At 49.1% G+C, this 15,629-nt stretch overlaps 2 protein-coding genes across 10 annotated transcripts in view, besides 6 other annotated features; both read right to left on the minus strand.

Moving 5' to 3' along the window:
- Window positions 1-333, minus strand: part of OSCP1 (organic solute carrier partner 1) — a 32,546-nt gene extending 32,213 nt beyond the window's left edge. For all 9 annotated transcript variants that reach the window (NM_145047.5, XM_005270462.2, NM_001330493.2 and 6 more), the window contains exon 1: window positions 140-333. In NM_145047.5, the coding sequence (NP_659484.4) occupies window positions 140-251 (112 nt within the window). In that variant the 5' untranslated portion in view covers window positions 252-333. The remainder of the gene's footprint in view (window positions 1-139) is intronic.
- Window positions 459-728: a silencer, noted in NCBI's record as "silent region_669". NCBI's record gives its function as "represses an Ori minimal core promoter by ATAC-STARR-seq in GM12878 lymphoblastoid cells {active_cell/tissue: GM12878}" and the evidence as "EXISTENCE:reporter gene assay evidence [ECO:0000049][PMID:35858748]".
- MRPS15 (mitochondrial ribosomal protein S15) lies at window positions 5,600-14,266 on the minus strand. The gene is made up of 8 exons (NM_031280.4): window positions 14,028-14,266; window positions 13,688-13,732; window positions 11,970-12,045; window positions 11,146-11,194; window positions 10,574-10,658; window positions 7,805-7,863; window positions 6,069-6,260; window positions 5,600-5,807 (listed from the first exon to the last, which is right to left on the minus strand). The coding sequence occupies exons 1-8, from the start codon at window positions 14,155-14,157 to the stop codon at window positions 5,670-5,672; spliced, it is 774 nt and encodes a 257-aa protein (NP_112570.2). The 5' UTR covers window positions 14,158-14,266; the 3' UTR covers window positions 5,600-5,669.
- Window positions 13,274-14,177: an enhancer, noted in NCBI's record as "H3K27ac hESC enhancer chr1:36928993-36929896 (GRCh37/hg19 assembly coordinates)". NCBI's record gives its function as "activates a minimal SCP1, AML or CMV promoter by ChIP-STARR-seq in naive H9 embryonic stem cells {active_cell/tissue: H9 hESC(naive)}" and the evidence as "EXISTENCE:reporter gene assay evidence [ECO:0000049][PMID:30033119]".
- Window positions 13,274-15,079: a biological region, named in NCBI's record as "CDK7 strongly-dependent group 2 enhancer GRCh37_chr1:36929292-36930491".
- Window positions 13,573-14,772: an enhancer, noted in NCBI's record as "CDK7 strongly-dependent group 2 enhancer chr1:36929292-36930491 (GRCh37/hg19 assembly coordinates)". NCBI's record gives its function as "activates an origin of replication core promoter dependent on BRD2, BRD4, P300/CBP, MED14 and CDK7 cofactors, with strong dependence on CDK7, by STARR-seq in HCT116 cells {active_cell/tissue: HCT116}" and the evidence as "EXISTENCE:reporter gene assay evidence [ECO:0000049][PMID:35650434]".
- Window positions 14,172-14,421: an enhancer, noted in NCBI's record as "active region_755". NCBI's record gives its function as "activates an Ori minimal core promoter by ATAC-STARR-seq in GM12878 lymphoblastoid cells {active_cell/tissue: GM12878}" and the evidence as "EXISTENCE:reporter gene assay evidence [ECO:0000049][PMID:35858748]".
- Window positions 14,178-15,079: an enhancer, noted in NCBI's record as "H3K27ac hESC enhancer chr1:36929897-36930798 (GRCh37/hg19 assembly coordinates)". NCBI's record gives its function as "activates a minimal SCP1, AML or CMV promoter by ChIP-STARR-seq in naive H9 embryonic stem cells {active_cell/tissue: H9 hESC(naive)}" and the evidence as "EXISTENCE:reporter gene assay evidence [ECO:0000049][PMID:30033119]".

Raw genomic sequence — 15,629 nt, forward strand, 5'->3', positions numbered from 1 at the left:
GATGTGGCTTGTAAGAAAGGTCCCTGGTTATAAGAGTGAAGTGTGTAGGGGTGCGGGTCTGGCTGTGGGTGTTAGGGCGATGATGAGAGGGCCGGGCTGCTGGCTGCGGGTCTGGCTGAGCGGGCCGGGGGCCTCTCACCTTTGCGGGCCTTGTCTCCCGGGATGTTCTGGGCCCGCAGCCGTTGGTCGAGGATGTAAAGCATCTCCCCGCCCAAGTTCAAGAAGAGCAGCGGTAGCGTCCGCACCGACATGGTGCTGGAAACGAGCTGGACTGGTGAAGAGCCCCGGGGTTCGGTAGCCAGTGGCCTGAAGGCCAGGCCGCAGCGTCCCAATAGTCCGGTTGCTGGGGCAACGCCGTGACGGGAAGAGCGAGCCAATCAGAAGGCGGTTTGGTGGGAGGTGCCCTGAAGACGGGAGCTAATTGGTCTGGGTGGTGGACCGTCCCGGGGGGATTGGTCCGAGCCAGAGGCCGGCGCGGCGTTGGGCGCGGCTGGGGAGCTGTGCTTCTGAGAGTAGGTTTCCCTCGAAAGGGCGAGGGCCGGGCCAGGGCTGGGGGTGGTCTCGACACAGCCAGCCCGGCGCTTGGGACCCCGGCCGCTGGCGCGGGGCCTCAGGTTCCTATAACAGAGGAAAGCCCAGGCAGAACGGCATTAGAGCAGGCTCGGGTCAGACGGACCTGGGTTGGAATCACGGCTCGTGATTTCTTGCTGTGTGACTTCGGGCAGGGTTTGAGCCTTGGCTTCCTCTTACGTAACATGGAGCTGGCACTCACATCACAGGGCGGCTGAGAGGAATCAGTCAGATCATGGAAAGGCCCCGAAAGCACTCAATAAAAATGGTAACTGACTTTTCTTTTAGACGAGGGAAGGATCAGAAGTCCTGAGTCGTTTGCATCGCCTCCCAAAAGTTTACTTGAAGTGAAGCCCCTCCTGGTTTCATACTCCATGAAGCAAACCAGTCCCGTCCGTCCCCGTGTGTCCAGTTCCCAGAGGATGCGCCTGGGGGCTCTGGGAAGTTCCCTCCTCGACGCTGTTCCGAAGGCCTCCCAACCATTTCTTTTTTCTTTTTTTTTTTTTTTTGAGACGGATTTTGCCCTTGTCGCTCAGGCTGGAGTGCAGTGGCGCCATCTCGGCTCATTGCAACTTCCGCCTTCAGGGTTCAAGCGATTCTCCTGCCTCAGCCTCCCGAGTAGCTGGGATTACAGGCGCCCGCCACCATGCCCGGCTAATTTTTGTATTTTTAGTAGAGACGGGGTTTCACCATGTTGGCCAGGCTGGTCTGGAACTCCTGACCTCAGGTGATCTGCCCGCCTGGGCCTCCCAAAGTGCTGAGATTACAGGCGTGAGCTATCACGCCCGGCCCCAACCATTTCTCTTTGAGGGCAGCGACTCCCTTCCTTACCTCCATCTTAAGCTCCAGGATTACTTTTTGCCATCTGCTGTATATTTTTACTCTGATGAACAACCATTTCTGTAAATTTCAGTACTTCCAAAACCTACTAATTATCTTTCCCTCCAGCTACTCAAACTTGAAACTTGGGCCTTGGCTTCCAAATCTGTTTCCCAGGGTCTTTTATCAGTCATCATATTATGCTTTTTCCTCCAACACCTTTCTTACATTCATCCCTTCATTTGTTTTTCTGTCTGCATTGCTATGTTCCTCTGTATCACTGTTCTTTTCTCTCTTCTACCTTGCACTGGCTGCTAAGCTAAATGTCAGAAGACATCACTTTTTTTTTTTTGAGATGGAGTTTCACTCTTGTCGCGCAGGCTGGTGTGCAATGGCACGATCTCGGCTTACTGCAACCTCCGCCTCCTGGTTTCAAGCGATTCTTCTGCCTCAGCCTCCTGAGTAAGCTGGGATTACAGGCATGGACCAGGGCACCATGCCCGGCTAATTTTGTATTTTTAGTAGAGATGGGGTTTCACCATGTTGGCCAGGCTGGTCTCGAACTCCTGACCTCAGGTGATCTGCCCGCCTCGGCCTCCCAAAGTGTTGGGATTACAGGCATGAGCCACTGCGCCCGGCCAGCATCACTGTCAACATGACACATCCCTTCAGTGGTTTCCTACTCTTTGCCAGATCACAGTCTAGATGCCTTGGCATGGCATTCCAGGCTCTCCACAGGCTCCAGCTACCTTTTTTTTTTTTTTTTTTTTAAAGAGATAGGGGTCTTACTTTGTTGCCCAAGGTTGGAATGCAGTGGCACCCTGGTGGCTCACTGCAGCCTAGAACTCCTAGCCTCAAGTGATTCTTCCACCTCAGACTCCTTAGTTGTTGGGATTTCAGGTGAGAGCCACCATACCCGGCCAACTACCTTTTTAAAGCCATCTCCTGCACCTGGCCACCTCCTCTCCCCCAGTCCAGTTGAACTTGTCAGCAGGCTGCCTCTTCCTCATTACCACACCACTGAAAAGTCTTGTCCTGCCATAACTGAGCCCAAGTCCTTCCCATATTAACATTCTCCTTCCATCCCTGCTAGTCTGTTTTCCTTCCTTTCCTTCCCAGTGAAGTGTTTTGAACGAGTTGACAACACTCACAACTGGAACCTCCTTAACATCCTCACTCCCCACCTCATTGCAACTGGTATTATGCTCCCTGAACCCCACTGAAACTGCTTCACCATGAATACTTTTTGGTCCTTCCCTTAACTGATATCTCAGCATCAGGACTATACAGTATCCCATGGCTGGCAGCCCAAGGCTTTGTTTAATTTGGTTATTTTGCCTGCTCTGTGCTCTGTTTTAAAAGGGAATACAGGCCAGGCGCAGTGGCTCACACCTGTAATCCCTGCACTTTGGGAGGCCAAGGCCAGCAGATCACTTGAGGTCAGGAGTTCAAGACAGGAGTTCAACACCAGCCTGGCCAACATGGTGAAACCCCATCTCTACTTCGCTGGGTGTGGTGGCACACACCTGTAATCCCAGCTACTGTGGACGCTGAGGCAGGAGAATCGCTTGAACCTGGGACGGGGAGGTTGCAGTGAGCCAAGATCACACCACTGCACTCTAGCCTGGGGGACAGAGCAAAAACTCTGTCTCAAAAAAATTAAAATAAATAAATAAGAGGGAATACAACTAGGATAGGAATGTAATAAACACCTTAGCATCATTACTTCATGTTAGGCCTTCATGCATTTTTGTTACCTGCCTTGCTCCCAAAAGCATTTGAGTTTGCTGTAGTGTACTCTTCCCTTAGCTTCTCAGACCTTTTTCTTGGTCCCTAAGCAGTGTGGTATAGTGAACAGGACATAGGCTCTGGAGTCAAGACAGAGCCAGCTTTGAATCCTAGACCTTTCTCTTCCCAGCTATATGAATTTGGACAAGTTACCTAACCTCTCTGAGTCTCAGTTCTCTCATGACTCTCTCATCTCTCATGGCTAAAATGAGGATAATTAGCCAATGTGCAGAGTAAAGGTGGCTGTGAATATTAGATAATGTGCCTAAGGAAGCAGTTAAAACAATGCCTTTTGACCGGATGCAGTTGCTCGCGCCTGTAATCCCAGCACTCTGGGAAACCAAGGCATTTGGGAGGGCAAGGATTGCTTGAGGCCAAGAGTTTGAGTAACCTGGGCAACATAGTGAGACCCTCTCTACAAAAAATAAAAAAATTAGCTAAGCGCAGTGGCTTACACTTATAGTCCTAGCTACTTAGGAGGCAGAGGCAAGAGGATTGCTTGAGCCCAAGAATTTGAAGTTAGTGAATTATGATCAGGCTACTGCACTCCAGTTGGGGCAACAGAGCAAGATCCTGTCTCTAAAAAAACAACCAGCCAAACCAACCAACCAACCAACGAAAAACACACAAATGCCTTTGCAGTAGGGCCTGATCCATTAAAATGTGTTCCTTTTTCTTTCCTTCCCCTTGGCTAGCCCCCTTAACTGTTAGTACCTGGCCCTCTGACACACTACCTCTAAGTAGCCGTGGCCACTTGGAAGTCCTGGCCCATTAAAGGCCTTCCCTACAATTCCTGGAAGTGATATCTGAATAGTGGATCTTCAGTTCTGAGCCTCTCATTTCTGCTTCTGCAGACACCCAGGCTCTGTTCTACCCCTACTTCACCTTCTCCTCCAGCTCAGCTGCTCCTTCTGACTTAGGCTAAGCTCTCAGGGATCATCCTTCCCATCCAGACATGGTCCTTTTTTCTTATACACTCCATCCCTGGGCAGTTTCACTTATGCCCATGGGCTCAATCACCCAACAACTCGCAAACCTCTCTAGTCCAGACCTCTCTACTGAGTCCTAGATCTAAACTTCCAACTGCTCTTTGGATAGCACTTTAGCACACCTTTCTCCCTTTTTGGCTTTCCTCAGTGGCTTCCCTTCCCAGAGTGAAGTCCAGTGTATTTCTCCAGTGTTATGGGCCGAATGTGTCCCCGACCAAATTCATATGTCGAAGCCCTAACTCCAATGTTACAGTATTTAGAGATGGGGCTTCTCAGAGTTAACTAGGGTTACATAAGGTCGTGAGTACGGCCCTCATGATGGGATTAGTGGCCTTGTAAGAGTGAGCTCTCCCCACTGCATGGACCAAGGGAAAGGCCATGTGATGACATTGAGAAGGTGGCTTTTCCAAGCTAGGAAGAGTCCTCACCTGAAACTGAATTGGCTGGTACTCTGATCTTGGAATCCCCAGCCTCCAGAACTGTGAAAAAACGAACTCAAAATAAAAATCCTGTGAAGTCACCTAATCTATGGTATTTTGTTATGGCAGGCTGAGACACCCAGAAAGCTCTACATCACCTGGTATTTGCCTACCCCTCTGACCTTGTCTTCTTACTATTCTCTTTGTTCTGTTTTAGACACATTGTCTTCCTTGGGTTCTTCAAACATACCAAGCATGCTCAGGCTTCAAGGTGTTGGCACTTAACTTGGTGTAAATGGATGGGCTTTATGGGGAACGGGGATCCATAACTCCCTAGAATTTATAAGCAATGCTTTTGCATATGCTTCCTGGGGATAGGACTTGTAGTTTTGATCAGATTCTCTACGTGAACACTGATATCCTCCAGCCCCAGTACACTGCTCTGATCTCTCCTCCTCCCATCTACCATCCACACAGCTGTTGCTTAACTATCTAAAACACAGACCTGTTAATTGCCATCACTCCTTCAGTTTTAAAACTTGAACTGTCTCCCCACTCCCTAGTGGACAGTGTACAATCTTCTCAGCCTAGCATATAAAGCTTCTCACACTTCAGCTTCAGCTTACCTTTCAAGCTTTATTTCTCATTCTCCCCGTTCTCTGAATACAGCATGCCTCTCTAGACTTCCTTGCCTTTGTACTTGCAATCCCTTCTGCCCAGGAGGCCTTCCCTTCCTGTCTCTATATAGTGAATTCCTACTCATCCTTTAGGACCCAGTCCAGAAGGCAGCTCCTACAGCAGTTCTTCCTACCCAGCCGGCCACACTTCCACTGTGCTGTCACATGCTCTGTCTTGCCTCCACTGACACACATCACCTGGATGACAGGTACTTGTTTGTATGAGTGTGTGGGAGGCATGTCATAAGTGTGTATCCTCTGGTGGGTGAGGCAGGGACTCTGCCTCAGAAAACTCTGGGATCTCAGAGCTGAATGAAAGAATAAATTCCTTCTCCTCTTCAGGCCAAAAAGAGCCCCATCATCTCTCCTATCATTCTTCAAGACAGAAAGAAATGATTGAACAGAATTTATTGGCTGTCTTTGAGTGTCTTTGGTATGGCTTTGGCAGGGCTGTCTGGGTTCCTCCGCTTTGCTTGTTTTTGGGCTGCTGCTGCAGCCTTTAAGGCTCTTCTTCGCTTCTTCAGCTTTTGAGTCTCCTGGAAAACCTGGGGATGAAAAGGGGCAGAAAAAGACCTTGTAATCCTGTGCAAAACCTCAGACTTGGAACAAGTGGGATGGGAACTATTTCCCCCAGATGGTAACCCCAGCCTTTCTCCATGGGGTTGGTGGCCTGTGACCTCCCTGGATCCATTCCAGGGCCTGGGGCCAGTTCCATGCCTCTAACAGAAACAGATGATCCCTCCCTTCTGCTTCCTCCATCCCAGTCCCTGAGTGGGGCCAAGCAAAGCCGCAATTCTGACTCGTACCCGAATGCACAGAGCCTTCTTGGTCACGAATCGGCGGTGGGCTCTTCGGTAATACAGAGGGGGGAAGGTGTACTCAATTCCCAGCCCCCAGCATATCTTCTCAAAGACATCATAGTTGGTGTTACGGAGGTTTTTGAGCATCTTTTTCCTCTGGTCAATGCTCATTAGCAGATAGCGTTTGTGGGCTTTGTCCTGCAAGAGATTCTCATTACTTTTAGTATTATATAAGTGTTACTGTTGTTCACAGTAACAAACAATGGTCATTTTATCATTTCACTGAAATTTCTCAGTAATCTTATGCAAATATTAATGCAATTCTGAAGGAGGTATTATCATTGTTATTCCCATTTTACAGATGAGAAAACAAAGGTTTAAAGATGTTATCTGATTCACAAAAGGTCTTTAGAACTGTGAGTGCTGAGATAGGGTCTTGAATCTCTATCTATTGGTCTGACTTCAAACCTCATGCTCTTTCTCCTACACTACCCACTCAGACTCTCCATAGCTTAGCAAACTGTCAGCTGGGGTAGAGAGGAAGGAAGGCCTTGTGCTCTTCCTGGAAATGCCTACCCACAGCTGGCTGCTGCCCTGTGAAGGACCTCTGCAGTAGGGCTGCTGTCCCACACCTCAAATAAGCAAAACTGTGATCTTTAAGAAGCAGGCTCCAGGGAACACTGAGGTGCCAGGCATGGTGCTGGACCAGTCTGTATTCACAATCATTTGTTTATTAAAAATAACAGCATTTGCCTAATTACAGCAGCTCTGTGCCAGACACTGTGCTGAGATATGGTATAATGGTTAAGAATATGGCTGGCCATGGTGGCTCACACCTGTAATCTCAGCACTTTAGGAGGCCGAGGTGGGGAGATCACGAGGTCAGGAGATTGGGATCATCCTGGCTAACACGGTGAAACCCTGTCTCTACTAAAAATACAAAAAATTAGCTGGGTGTGGTGGCATGCGCCTGTAGTCCCAGCTACTCAGGAGGCTGAGGCAGGAGAGTTGCTTGAACCTGGGAGGCGGAGCCTGCAGTGAGCCGAGATCGCACCTCTGCACTCCAGCCTGGGTGACAGAGCAAGGCTCCATCTCAAAAAAAAAAAAAAAATATATATATATATGGGTCTTGGAGCAAGACTGCCTTGTTTCAAGGTCTCAGTACATCACTTCCCAGTGCTATGCCTTAAGGAATAACTTAATCATTCCATGACTAGATTATTCCTCGTTAAGATGGGAAAAAAAAGTCATGAGAGTCAAATAAGAAGATGCATGTGAAGTACTTAGCACAGGGCCTAAAGACTTTATATGCATCACATTGGCTGTTATTATTATTTCACATAATCCTTGCAATCCTGTGAGCAAGTATTTGTATGATCTCCATCTTATTGAAAAGAAAACTGAGGCTGAGACCTGTACTTCCCTAATATCACACAGCTACTTAAGTGGAAGTGGCAGAGCTCGGATTTGAACCCAGGGCAATCTGACTCCATTCATGCATTCAACAAATATTTACTGAGCACTCAGCATGTGCCAGACACAGTGATCATGCTCTCAAGTTTGTGTTCTTAACCCCTGGTGACACTCAGCATGGCCTTGTAAGGCTCCAAGTCCTCTGGAGGCAGGAGGGAAGCATTTTCAGTGGCTTCTAAGCCTCCTTCTCTGGACCCAGAGCCCTTCCCCTCCGGACCCCTTTCCCCCAGGCTGCTGCTGTTTAACTGTGAATGACGTCCAGAGTTTACCTTTCGATGTTTCTCCAAGTGTTCTTCATAACTGCGGATCTTGACAGACAAGGCAATAACTGAAACCACAAACCACAGAGGATGAGAGTTGGGCACAGAGGAAGGAAGGGCCCAGGCCTGGTTTACGTTTTAAGAACTCAAGGAATAACAATCACCAATGCTCTGTACAGCTCTCTATAAATCCCAAATCACTCTGAATTTCAAGATTTCAAAGGCTTATCTTAGACATTACCTTCCCTTAAAAAGCAAAATCCAAGGAAGGGACATCCCTTAATATTATAAAGATATCATCCAAAAATCATAGCAAATAGCATTCTTTTTTTTGAGACGGAGTCTCGCTCTGTTGCCCAGGCTGGAGTGCAGTGGTGCGATCTCGGCTCACCGCAGCCTCTGCCTCCCAGGTTCAGGTGATTCTCTTGCCTCAGACTCCAGAGCAGCTGGGATTACAGGCGCCCGCCACCACACACGGCTAATTTTTCTATTTTTAGTAGAGACGGGGTTTCACCATGTTGGCCAGGCTGGTCTCAAACTCCTGACCTCAAGTGATCCACCTGCCTTGGCCTCCCAAAGTGGTGGGGTTACAGGTGTGAGCCACCGTGCCTGGCCGCAAATAGCATTCTTAATGGTAAGACTAGCCATTCAATTCAGGAATTAGACCAGGATACAGTGCTATCATGGTTAACAATTCAACATTGTATTAGAGGTCCAAGCCAATGCAGTAAAGTATTTTGGCACAAATAAGATTCTAAAACTGTCACGGGTCTACTCCTTGCCTCTCCCCTTCCTGCTGCCACCTTTATCTCCATGCTTTGACTAATGAATTTTCAGAATTATCAGCTCCCACTTGTCTCTCAAGAACCCAGGATATCGTTCATTCAGGCATCCTCTTGTTTAATTTACCCCCTGTACTGCAAAGATGGGGGCAAAAGCAGAAGCTGGCCCCAAAGAGAGGCTGTCACGACAGCAGGCCCTTCCCAGTACATACTGAGTTCTGGGAGCACTGCAGAAAGTGCAGTGGGAACCCTGACCCCGACCACATGGCTCCATCACAGCAACTTAGGTGTAGAGTGGAACAACACAGAAAGATAGGCCTTGGTTCCTGAGGGGTTCTCTAGAGCAGGCACTATGCTAGAAGCAACTGGCATTCAGAAAACTGAGTAATAATGGAAAGGCAGAAGTGACATCTGTGGGCTGGGCGTGGTGACTCATGCCTGTAATCCCAGCACTTTGGGAGGCTGAGGCAGGTGAATTACTTGAGCTCAGGAGTTCGAGATCAGCCTGGGCAATATGACAAAATCCTGTCTCTACCAAAAACACAAAAATTAGCTTGACATGGTTGTGCATGCCTTTGGTCCCAGCTACTTGGGAGCCTGAGGTAGGAGAATTGCTGGAGCCCCAGAAGTTGCGCTGTAGTGAGCCATGATCACACCTGCCACTGACTGCATTCCAGCCTGAGTGACAGAGTGAGATCCGGTCTCAAAAAAAAAAAAAAAAAAAAAGAATCAAAACTTGTGCTTAAAGACGACCCCAGTAACCACCTTGCCAGTCCAGGCCATTTGTTCCTGCCAACCTGGGGATTTCAGTAGTGATAATGCAGAAACAGGTGAGGAAAGATAAGCAGGCCTTTTGTGGCTGAGCTGGTCCCTAGCCCAGGGCTTTAGCAGGGCAAGGGAAGCTGAAACTCATCTTCTCAAAAGAGGCTATGGAGGACCCTTGAGTCCAGTTCTCAATGGGGTTTTAGTATCCAAGATGAACTCACCAGACTTTAATCCCTGGCAGAGGGAGAAGAAAAGAATGAAGGGAGAAGAATGAAGGCAGGAGGGTGGAAGAGGAGGAGGAGGCTATAATATAGGCCAATGGCAAAGGAGAGAAAGTGTGCAGATCCTCTGCAGGTCCACTAGTCTACCTCACTTGCTCTCAGTGGGCAATGAAGAGAAACTGCACCCAGAGAGAGGGGGAAATGGTGGTGCTTTTCACTCACATCTAATGAGGACTACTGCCAGTTCTAGCCTGAACCAAAGTAGCAACATTATTCCCTTGGGAATGCACCATGGTGTCTGTCTGGCACAAGAGGGTTCAAAATGTTGGTCTTATTTTTTTATTTTCGAGACGGAGTCTCGCTCTGTTGCCCAGGCGAGAGTGCAGTGGCGCGATCTCGGCTCACTGCAAGCTCCGCCTCCCAGGTTCACGCCATTCTCCTGCCTCAGCCCCAGTAGCTAGGACTACAGGCGCCCGCCACCATGCCCGGCTAATTTTTTGTATTTTTAGTAGAGACGGGGTTTCACCGTGTTAGCCAGGATGGTCTTGATCTCCTGACCTTGTGATCCACCTGCTTGGCCTCCCAAAGTGCTGGGATTACAGGCGTGAGCCACCGCGCCTGGCCTAGTCTTACTATTATTATCACACATCGTGAGCTTTAGTTTCCAAGGTGTGTTTACATCCCCTAGCTGCCTCTCACAATGCTGCCATGAGGTGGGTAACATTACCTCTGCTCTGCTCTCCCTTATTCCCCCATTTCCAGATGAGGAAGCAGGGGCTCCAAGAGAGGGTTGGTGACTTACCCAAGCTCACACAGTGGTACAAGGTCCAACTGGGTGTTGACTCCAGCATCAGAGCTTGGGATACAGGGTCCAATTTTCATTGCCCTAGGTCCTTCATGTCTCTCCCTTTCCCCAGCCCATGTGCATGTGCTTGTAGACAAGAGCCCTAGATCAGGTCCCAGCTAGCAGGCTTCCCTACACCCCCACTCCCCAAGGGTCCCCGACCAACTTCGAGCCTCCAGGGATCTGGTGTCCTCTGGGTTTGCAACAATCTTCTTCATAAACTGTTCTTGCTTGATTTTTAGCATCTCCTTCTGTTGAAGACAGAGACAGAGAAAATCTGTGGAGTCTGCCACCCTCTAAGAACTAGCCCTCCTCCCCCCAAGGGCCCTGGCTACAGTTATAGCAACTAGGGCCATAAGGCTCAGGGCCTGACTTCACTCTGCTCACTGTGGCCTTGACCAACCACATGGCTATCCACATCCAGGTGAGCCCAAAGCCAAAGCCACTGACAGAGGAAATGACTTGTTGCATGAATGTCCCCAAAGCTTGCTCATTCATTTATGCTCATTCATTCATTCACTGAGCACCTGTTTGTCAGGTGCTAGGGGTATGGTGGGGGAACAAAAGTGTCCCTGCCCTGAAGATGCTCTGTCTAGGGATATTGACAAATGGAGGCAGAATGACAGTGGGCTAAGTGCTGTGACTGGAGAAGCATGAGATGCGGGGTGCTAATCAGGGTAGAAGGGAGTCCCAGAGGAGAAGACTGCGGGAGGCTGAGGCTTGGCAGAGGCTGCTCACCTTGTTGGCCATTTCCAAAGACAAGAGTCTTTTCACGACATCATCAACCCTGTGGATAAACCACAGCAATGAGACAGACATTGGGGGAGAAGAGAGGAAAGCAATGCTGGTTTCATTTTAGTTTGAAAAGCAAAGATGATTGAAAAATTCCTTCTGTAGCAAATGAATCTCCCTGGAGGTGGGGAGCCATTTCCCAGGGATTAAAAGTCAGTGTGGATCTGGCTTGCTGGGCTGAAACTACAGAAACTGGGGCTGTCAGCTCGACTGTTCCGGTCTCATCACAGGGAGGGCAAGGAGAGGATTTCCATTTTAGCTACAACATGGTTCAATCTGTTTTGAGACATTTCAAGTTAAATTGCACAGTGGGAGGGACTGACCAGCTCCCACCACACTGCATAGGAGCTGAGCAGAGGGCCTCTGGCTTTGGTGTCAGTCAGCCCTGGATTCAAACTCTAGCTCTGCCCTTTAGAACTGTATGACACTGGACAGCTTGAAAATCTATAAAATGGGGACATACAGCTTTTGTGAGGAACAAGAGATGAGAGATTTCTACAAAGACCTGTGAAGTATGTTAGCTCCTTGGAATCTAGTGGTACAGGGTGTTCATCTAGAGTACAAAAAAACCCCCAAGTAGCCGAGCTCCATGAGTGCCATCTGCCTTGCTGACCACCCACCCTCACCACACCTGGACACCTGGGCCCCTGCCTCCTTCTAGATCAAGCTTCAGCTACAGCAAGCCAAGTCTCAAAGCCACTGTCTTTCCCCACTCCCCGACAATCCTCCCAGGGCCCCCTGCCTCCTCTACTAGGTTTCTTCCTGCTTACTTCTCAATTCCAGGGACATTCTGGTAGTCTTTGAGCAGCGTAGAGGGAGGTGGGTCATCATCCAGCCTAGACTGGGCTGTCAAGTAAATATGGGGATAGAAAACACCCAGAGTCAACTCTCGCTGCCCACCCTCCCAGACCTGGCTCTTTTCACCCACTCTCCAACTCCAGAAGGGACATTCAGGGTCTCAAGCAAAGCACTGGATATCTCTCGGCTCAGTTTCTCCTTTGCAAACTCCGTGGGCACCTGCTTTGATATTTCATGTTGCGAGTAGGTGGCTTTTCCCAAGACCCTACACTGTGCCTGCACCTTTCACACACCTATCTGGCTCTACAGTTCTCAGATCCCCCACTAGGATGGGTCCTCCTGTGGATAGGACAGAGTTTGACTCCCTTGGAATCCACCATAGTCTGGCCCATGGCTCAGCCTAGACTAGGCACTCAACAAACACTTGCTGGCTGACTGCATGTATGAATTAAGGGGGTTGAGGAAAGGCAGCTAGCTGTACGATGCCTGAAATGTAAGCACCAAGTAGAGATCACAGGAAAACCTCAGTCTTGGTGTGTGCACCCCTGCTATCCCTTGGAGATGAGGAAGAGGCATAGAGTAGATGGACTTATCCTCTCCAGTCAGACCCTGCTATGCAAATAACATTAATGGGCCTCTTCTGTCTGTAACAGCTCAAGTTGATTCTGATAGGGAGGCAGAAAAGAATTATATTAAAAATATATTAATAGCAATAAATTCTACTTATTTTATTTTTTGTAGAGACTGGGTCTTGCTATGTTGCCCAGGCTGGTCTTGAACTCCTGGCCTCAAGTGATCCTCCAGCCTTGGCCTCCCAAAATGTTGGGGCCATGTCCAGCCAATAATTTCTTTCTTTTTTGTTTTTTTGAGATGGAGTCTCGCTCTGTCACCCAGGCTGGAGTGCAGTGGCACGATCGGCTCACTGCAACCTCCACCTCCCAGGTTCAAGCGATTCTCCTGCCTCAGCCTCCTGAGTAGCTGGGATTACAGGCGCGCGCTACCACACCTGGCTAATTTTTTTCTGTATTTTTAGTAGAGACGAGGTTTCACCATGTTGGCCAGGCTGGTCTCGAACTCCTGAACTCAAGTGATCTGCCCACCTTGGCCTCCCAAAGTGTTGGGATTACAGGCGTAAGCCACCGCGTCCGGCCCCAGATAATAAATTCTAATATATACTATCAATATATTTAATTGAGCACAGCGTTAAGGGTGCTTTTCGTGTATTATCGCTGAATCCTAACAATCCTTGCAAATGGATACTTTCACACTCATTTTAGAAATAAGAATCAGAGAGAGGAAGTACCTTGCCCCATATCATTTACCTAATAAGAAGGATCTTAACTACTATGCATACTGAGTTGCAATGGGAAATTACATCCTGCATCTCAGAAGCGCAGACACAAAGTGCCATACTCTAGGTAGGCCTGGGTGGTGCCAGCCATGCACTCCCTCTGGGAAGCTCATTTTCACTCATTCACCTGGAAAGCTCCTGCTCCCGCCCTTCACACCCCTCTGTCCCCATACAGGCTGCAGGCCTAGGGCTTTGTGTAAGGTGGACGTGGGGTCTTTTGCTCAGGACCTCTGGCTCACCTCATCTAGTGGCTCTAATTCGCCACATCGGTCCCCTTACCCACCCCAGCCTTCCAGGAGGTCTCTCTTCCGCCCCAAGTCCCACCTTAGGAACTCCTACCTGGTTTCCGGACGACATATCCGCGCGCGGCCTGGAGGAGGAGACCTACGCAGAAAAGAGAGGGCTGAGGACCATCTCCTTAAATAGCCCACCCCTCAGTTCCTTTCTGTGCCCCTCGCATTGCCCGTCCGCCACGGTCTATGCGCTTCTGAACCTAACCGCTGCCCCATTTCTTCCCTACCCCTTGTCTCTCACATCTTGTTTCACCTCTTGCGCAACCACCGCCCTTTCCCCCTTATCCTGACCGCTGTATATCTCCCCTACTCCTGTGCTTCCTTATTCCCTATCTTCGCCGAACCCTGTTTCCCTACGCCCGCCGTCCCATTTCTCAGCTCCTCACTTCGAGGCTGCAGGCCCCACTGGTTGAAAGGAAACTTGGCGCTCCCACCGCCCGGCAGCCCGGGTACTAGGACCTGGGTAACTGCCCGGGTCCGAATCAAACTCAGCGTCCTCCACGCGACCCTCAGCATGGTGACCTCTAACCCCCGCGGGGCCCGCGCCGCGGCCGCCGTTCGCTTTGCGGCACGGACCGGGTTACATGGGCGCCGCCATGCTGGCCCAGGATCGACCAATCGAGGCAGTTGCAATACCGGAGCAGACGAAGACCGAGAGAATGGATTAGGTGGCGTGACTCTGATGACGCAACGCACGGGGCGGAGCTCAGAGACCGGGTTCCCGCTGCGCGTGATCGGGCCGTGGTGGTTGTGTGCCCACGTTTAGCAGCGTGCTGGGGTGCTGTATAAATTCTAAAATGCCACTTTTTGGAGGGCATGCGTTCCGTCCTTAATCTCATTCCTGGCCCTCGGGCCAGGGTTATTTTGGGAGGTCCATGGCGCCTGCGGTAGCCTTCTACCCCCAACCCAATCCCCTCTCCACCCCACCTCACCCCTCCCTTAGACAAGGATGGGACCGTGTAAGAACTACTACTGGGTTTCAGCCATGTCTCTGGCAGCCTCGTAGCCTGGAGACTAAAGTCGCTGAGTTTGGAATCGCACAGTCCTGGTCTGGAATCCTAACTCAGCCATTTACTCAACATGTGATCTTGTGGGCAAGTCACTTAACCTATGTGGGCCCTGTAGGGATAGTAATAACAATATCTCTCTTTTAGGTTGTTGAGAGGATTAACTGAGTTGTATGCAGACCACCTGGTATATAGTGAGCATTTAGTAAATCTTTACGGTGACGTTATTTGTGAAATGAGTGGTGTAAGGGTGGATACAAATTAGAAGAAAAAGAAAATTTAATTTTCCCTGGCGCAAAAAGGGAAAAGACTCCTTCCCCTCACTTTTCTGAGAGCATTTACTTTAGAAAACTTGTAATTGTGAATACTTTCTCTACTGCTTTGCGATGAATGTAAATCTTCTTAAAAGGTAAATAAACCTCTTGCCAGTTTTACAACCCCGGAATGTTTTTCTCAAGGACCTGGGGGCCAACCCTTTGAAATGTAATAATTAAGGAAGATAGTGCTCTCTCTCAGTTCCTGTGGGAGGGTAGGAGCCTAACTTCAGTTGGTGCCTAGCTCTTAGTTGCAACCTACCCTTTGTTATAAAGATAGGGGAAATCGATTTTTCCTTTGGATAAAGGCAATTAGCAGACACAGGTGGCTTCCCACTTACCAGGTAAATTTAGAGTGAGGTGCAGCCAAGTCCTCTTGCTTGAGGACCAGTTATTGTTTATCTTGAGAAAATGGATACAGTAAGTTGTATTCACTTTGCTACATAAAAGAGTAAGATTTTTGTCTCTTTGCAGTCTCTTTAGTGGATCACCAGTGTATCACATTCCGGTTTAATGCTTATTCAATAATAACACTGTTTTCTTTCTTTTCTACCCTTGTGAAGAGGTTTTCTGCGTTGGCAGGGGATTTTGTCTTTAATTTTATTTCCCCAACAGGGGTTAGTTTTTCCAAAGTCTCTTCACCGTGTCCCACCGCACTGTCACTCCC

This window comes from Homo sapiens, chromosome 1, assembly GCF_000001405.40.
Source record: "Homo sapiens chromosome 1, GRCh38.p14 Primary Assembly".
In the NCBI taxonomy this organism is placed as follows: Eukaryota; Metazoa; Chordata; class Mammalia; order Primates; family Hominidae; genus Homo; species Homo sapiens.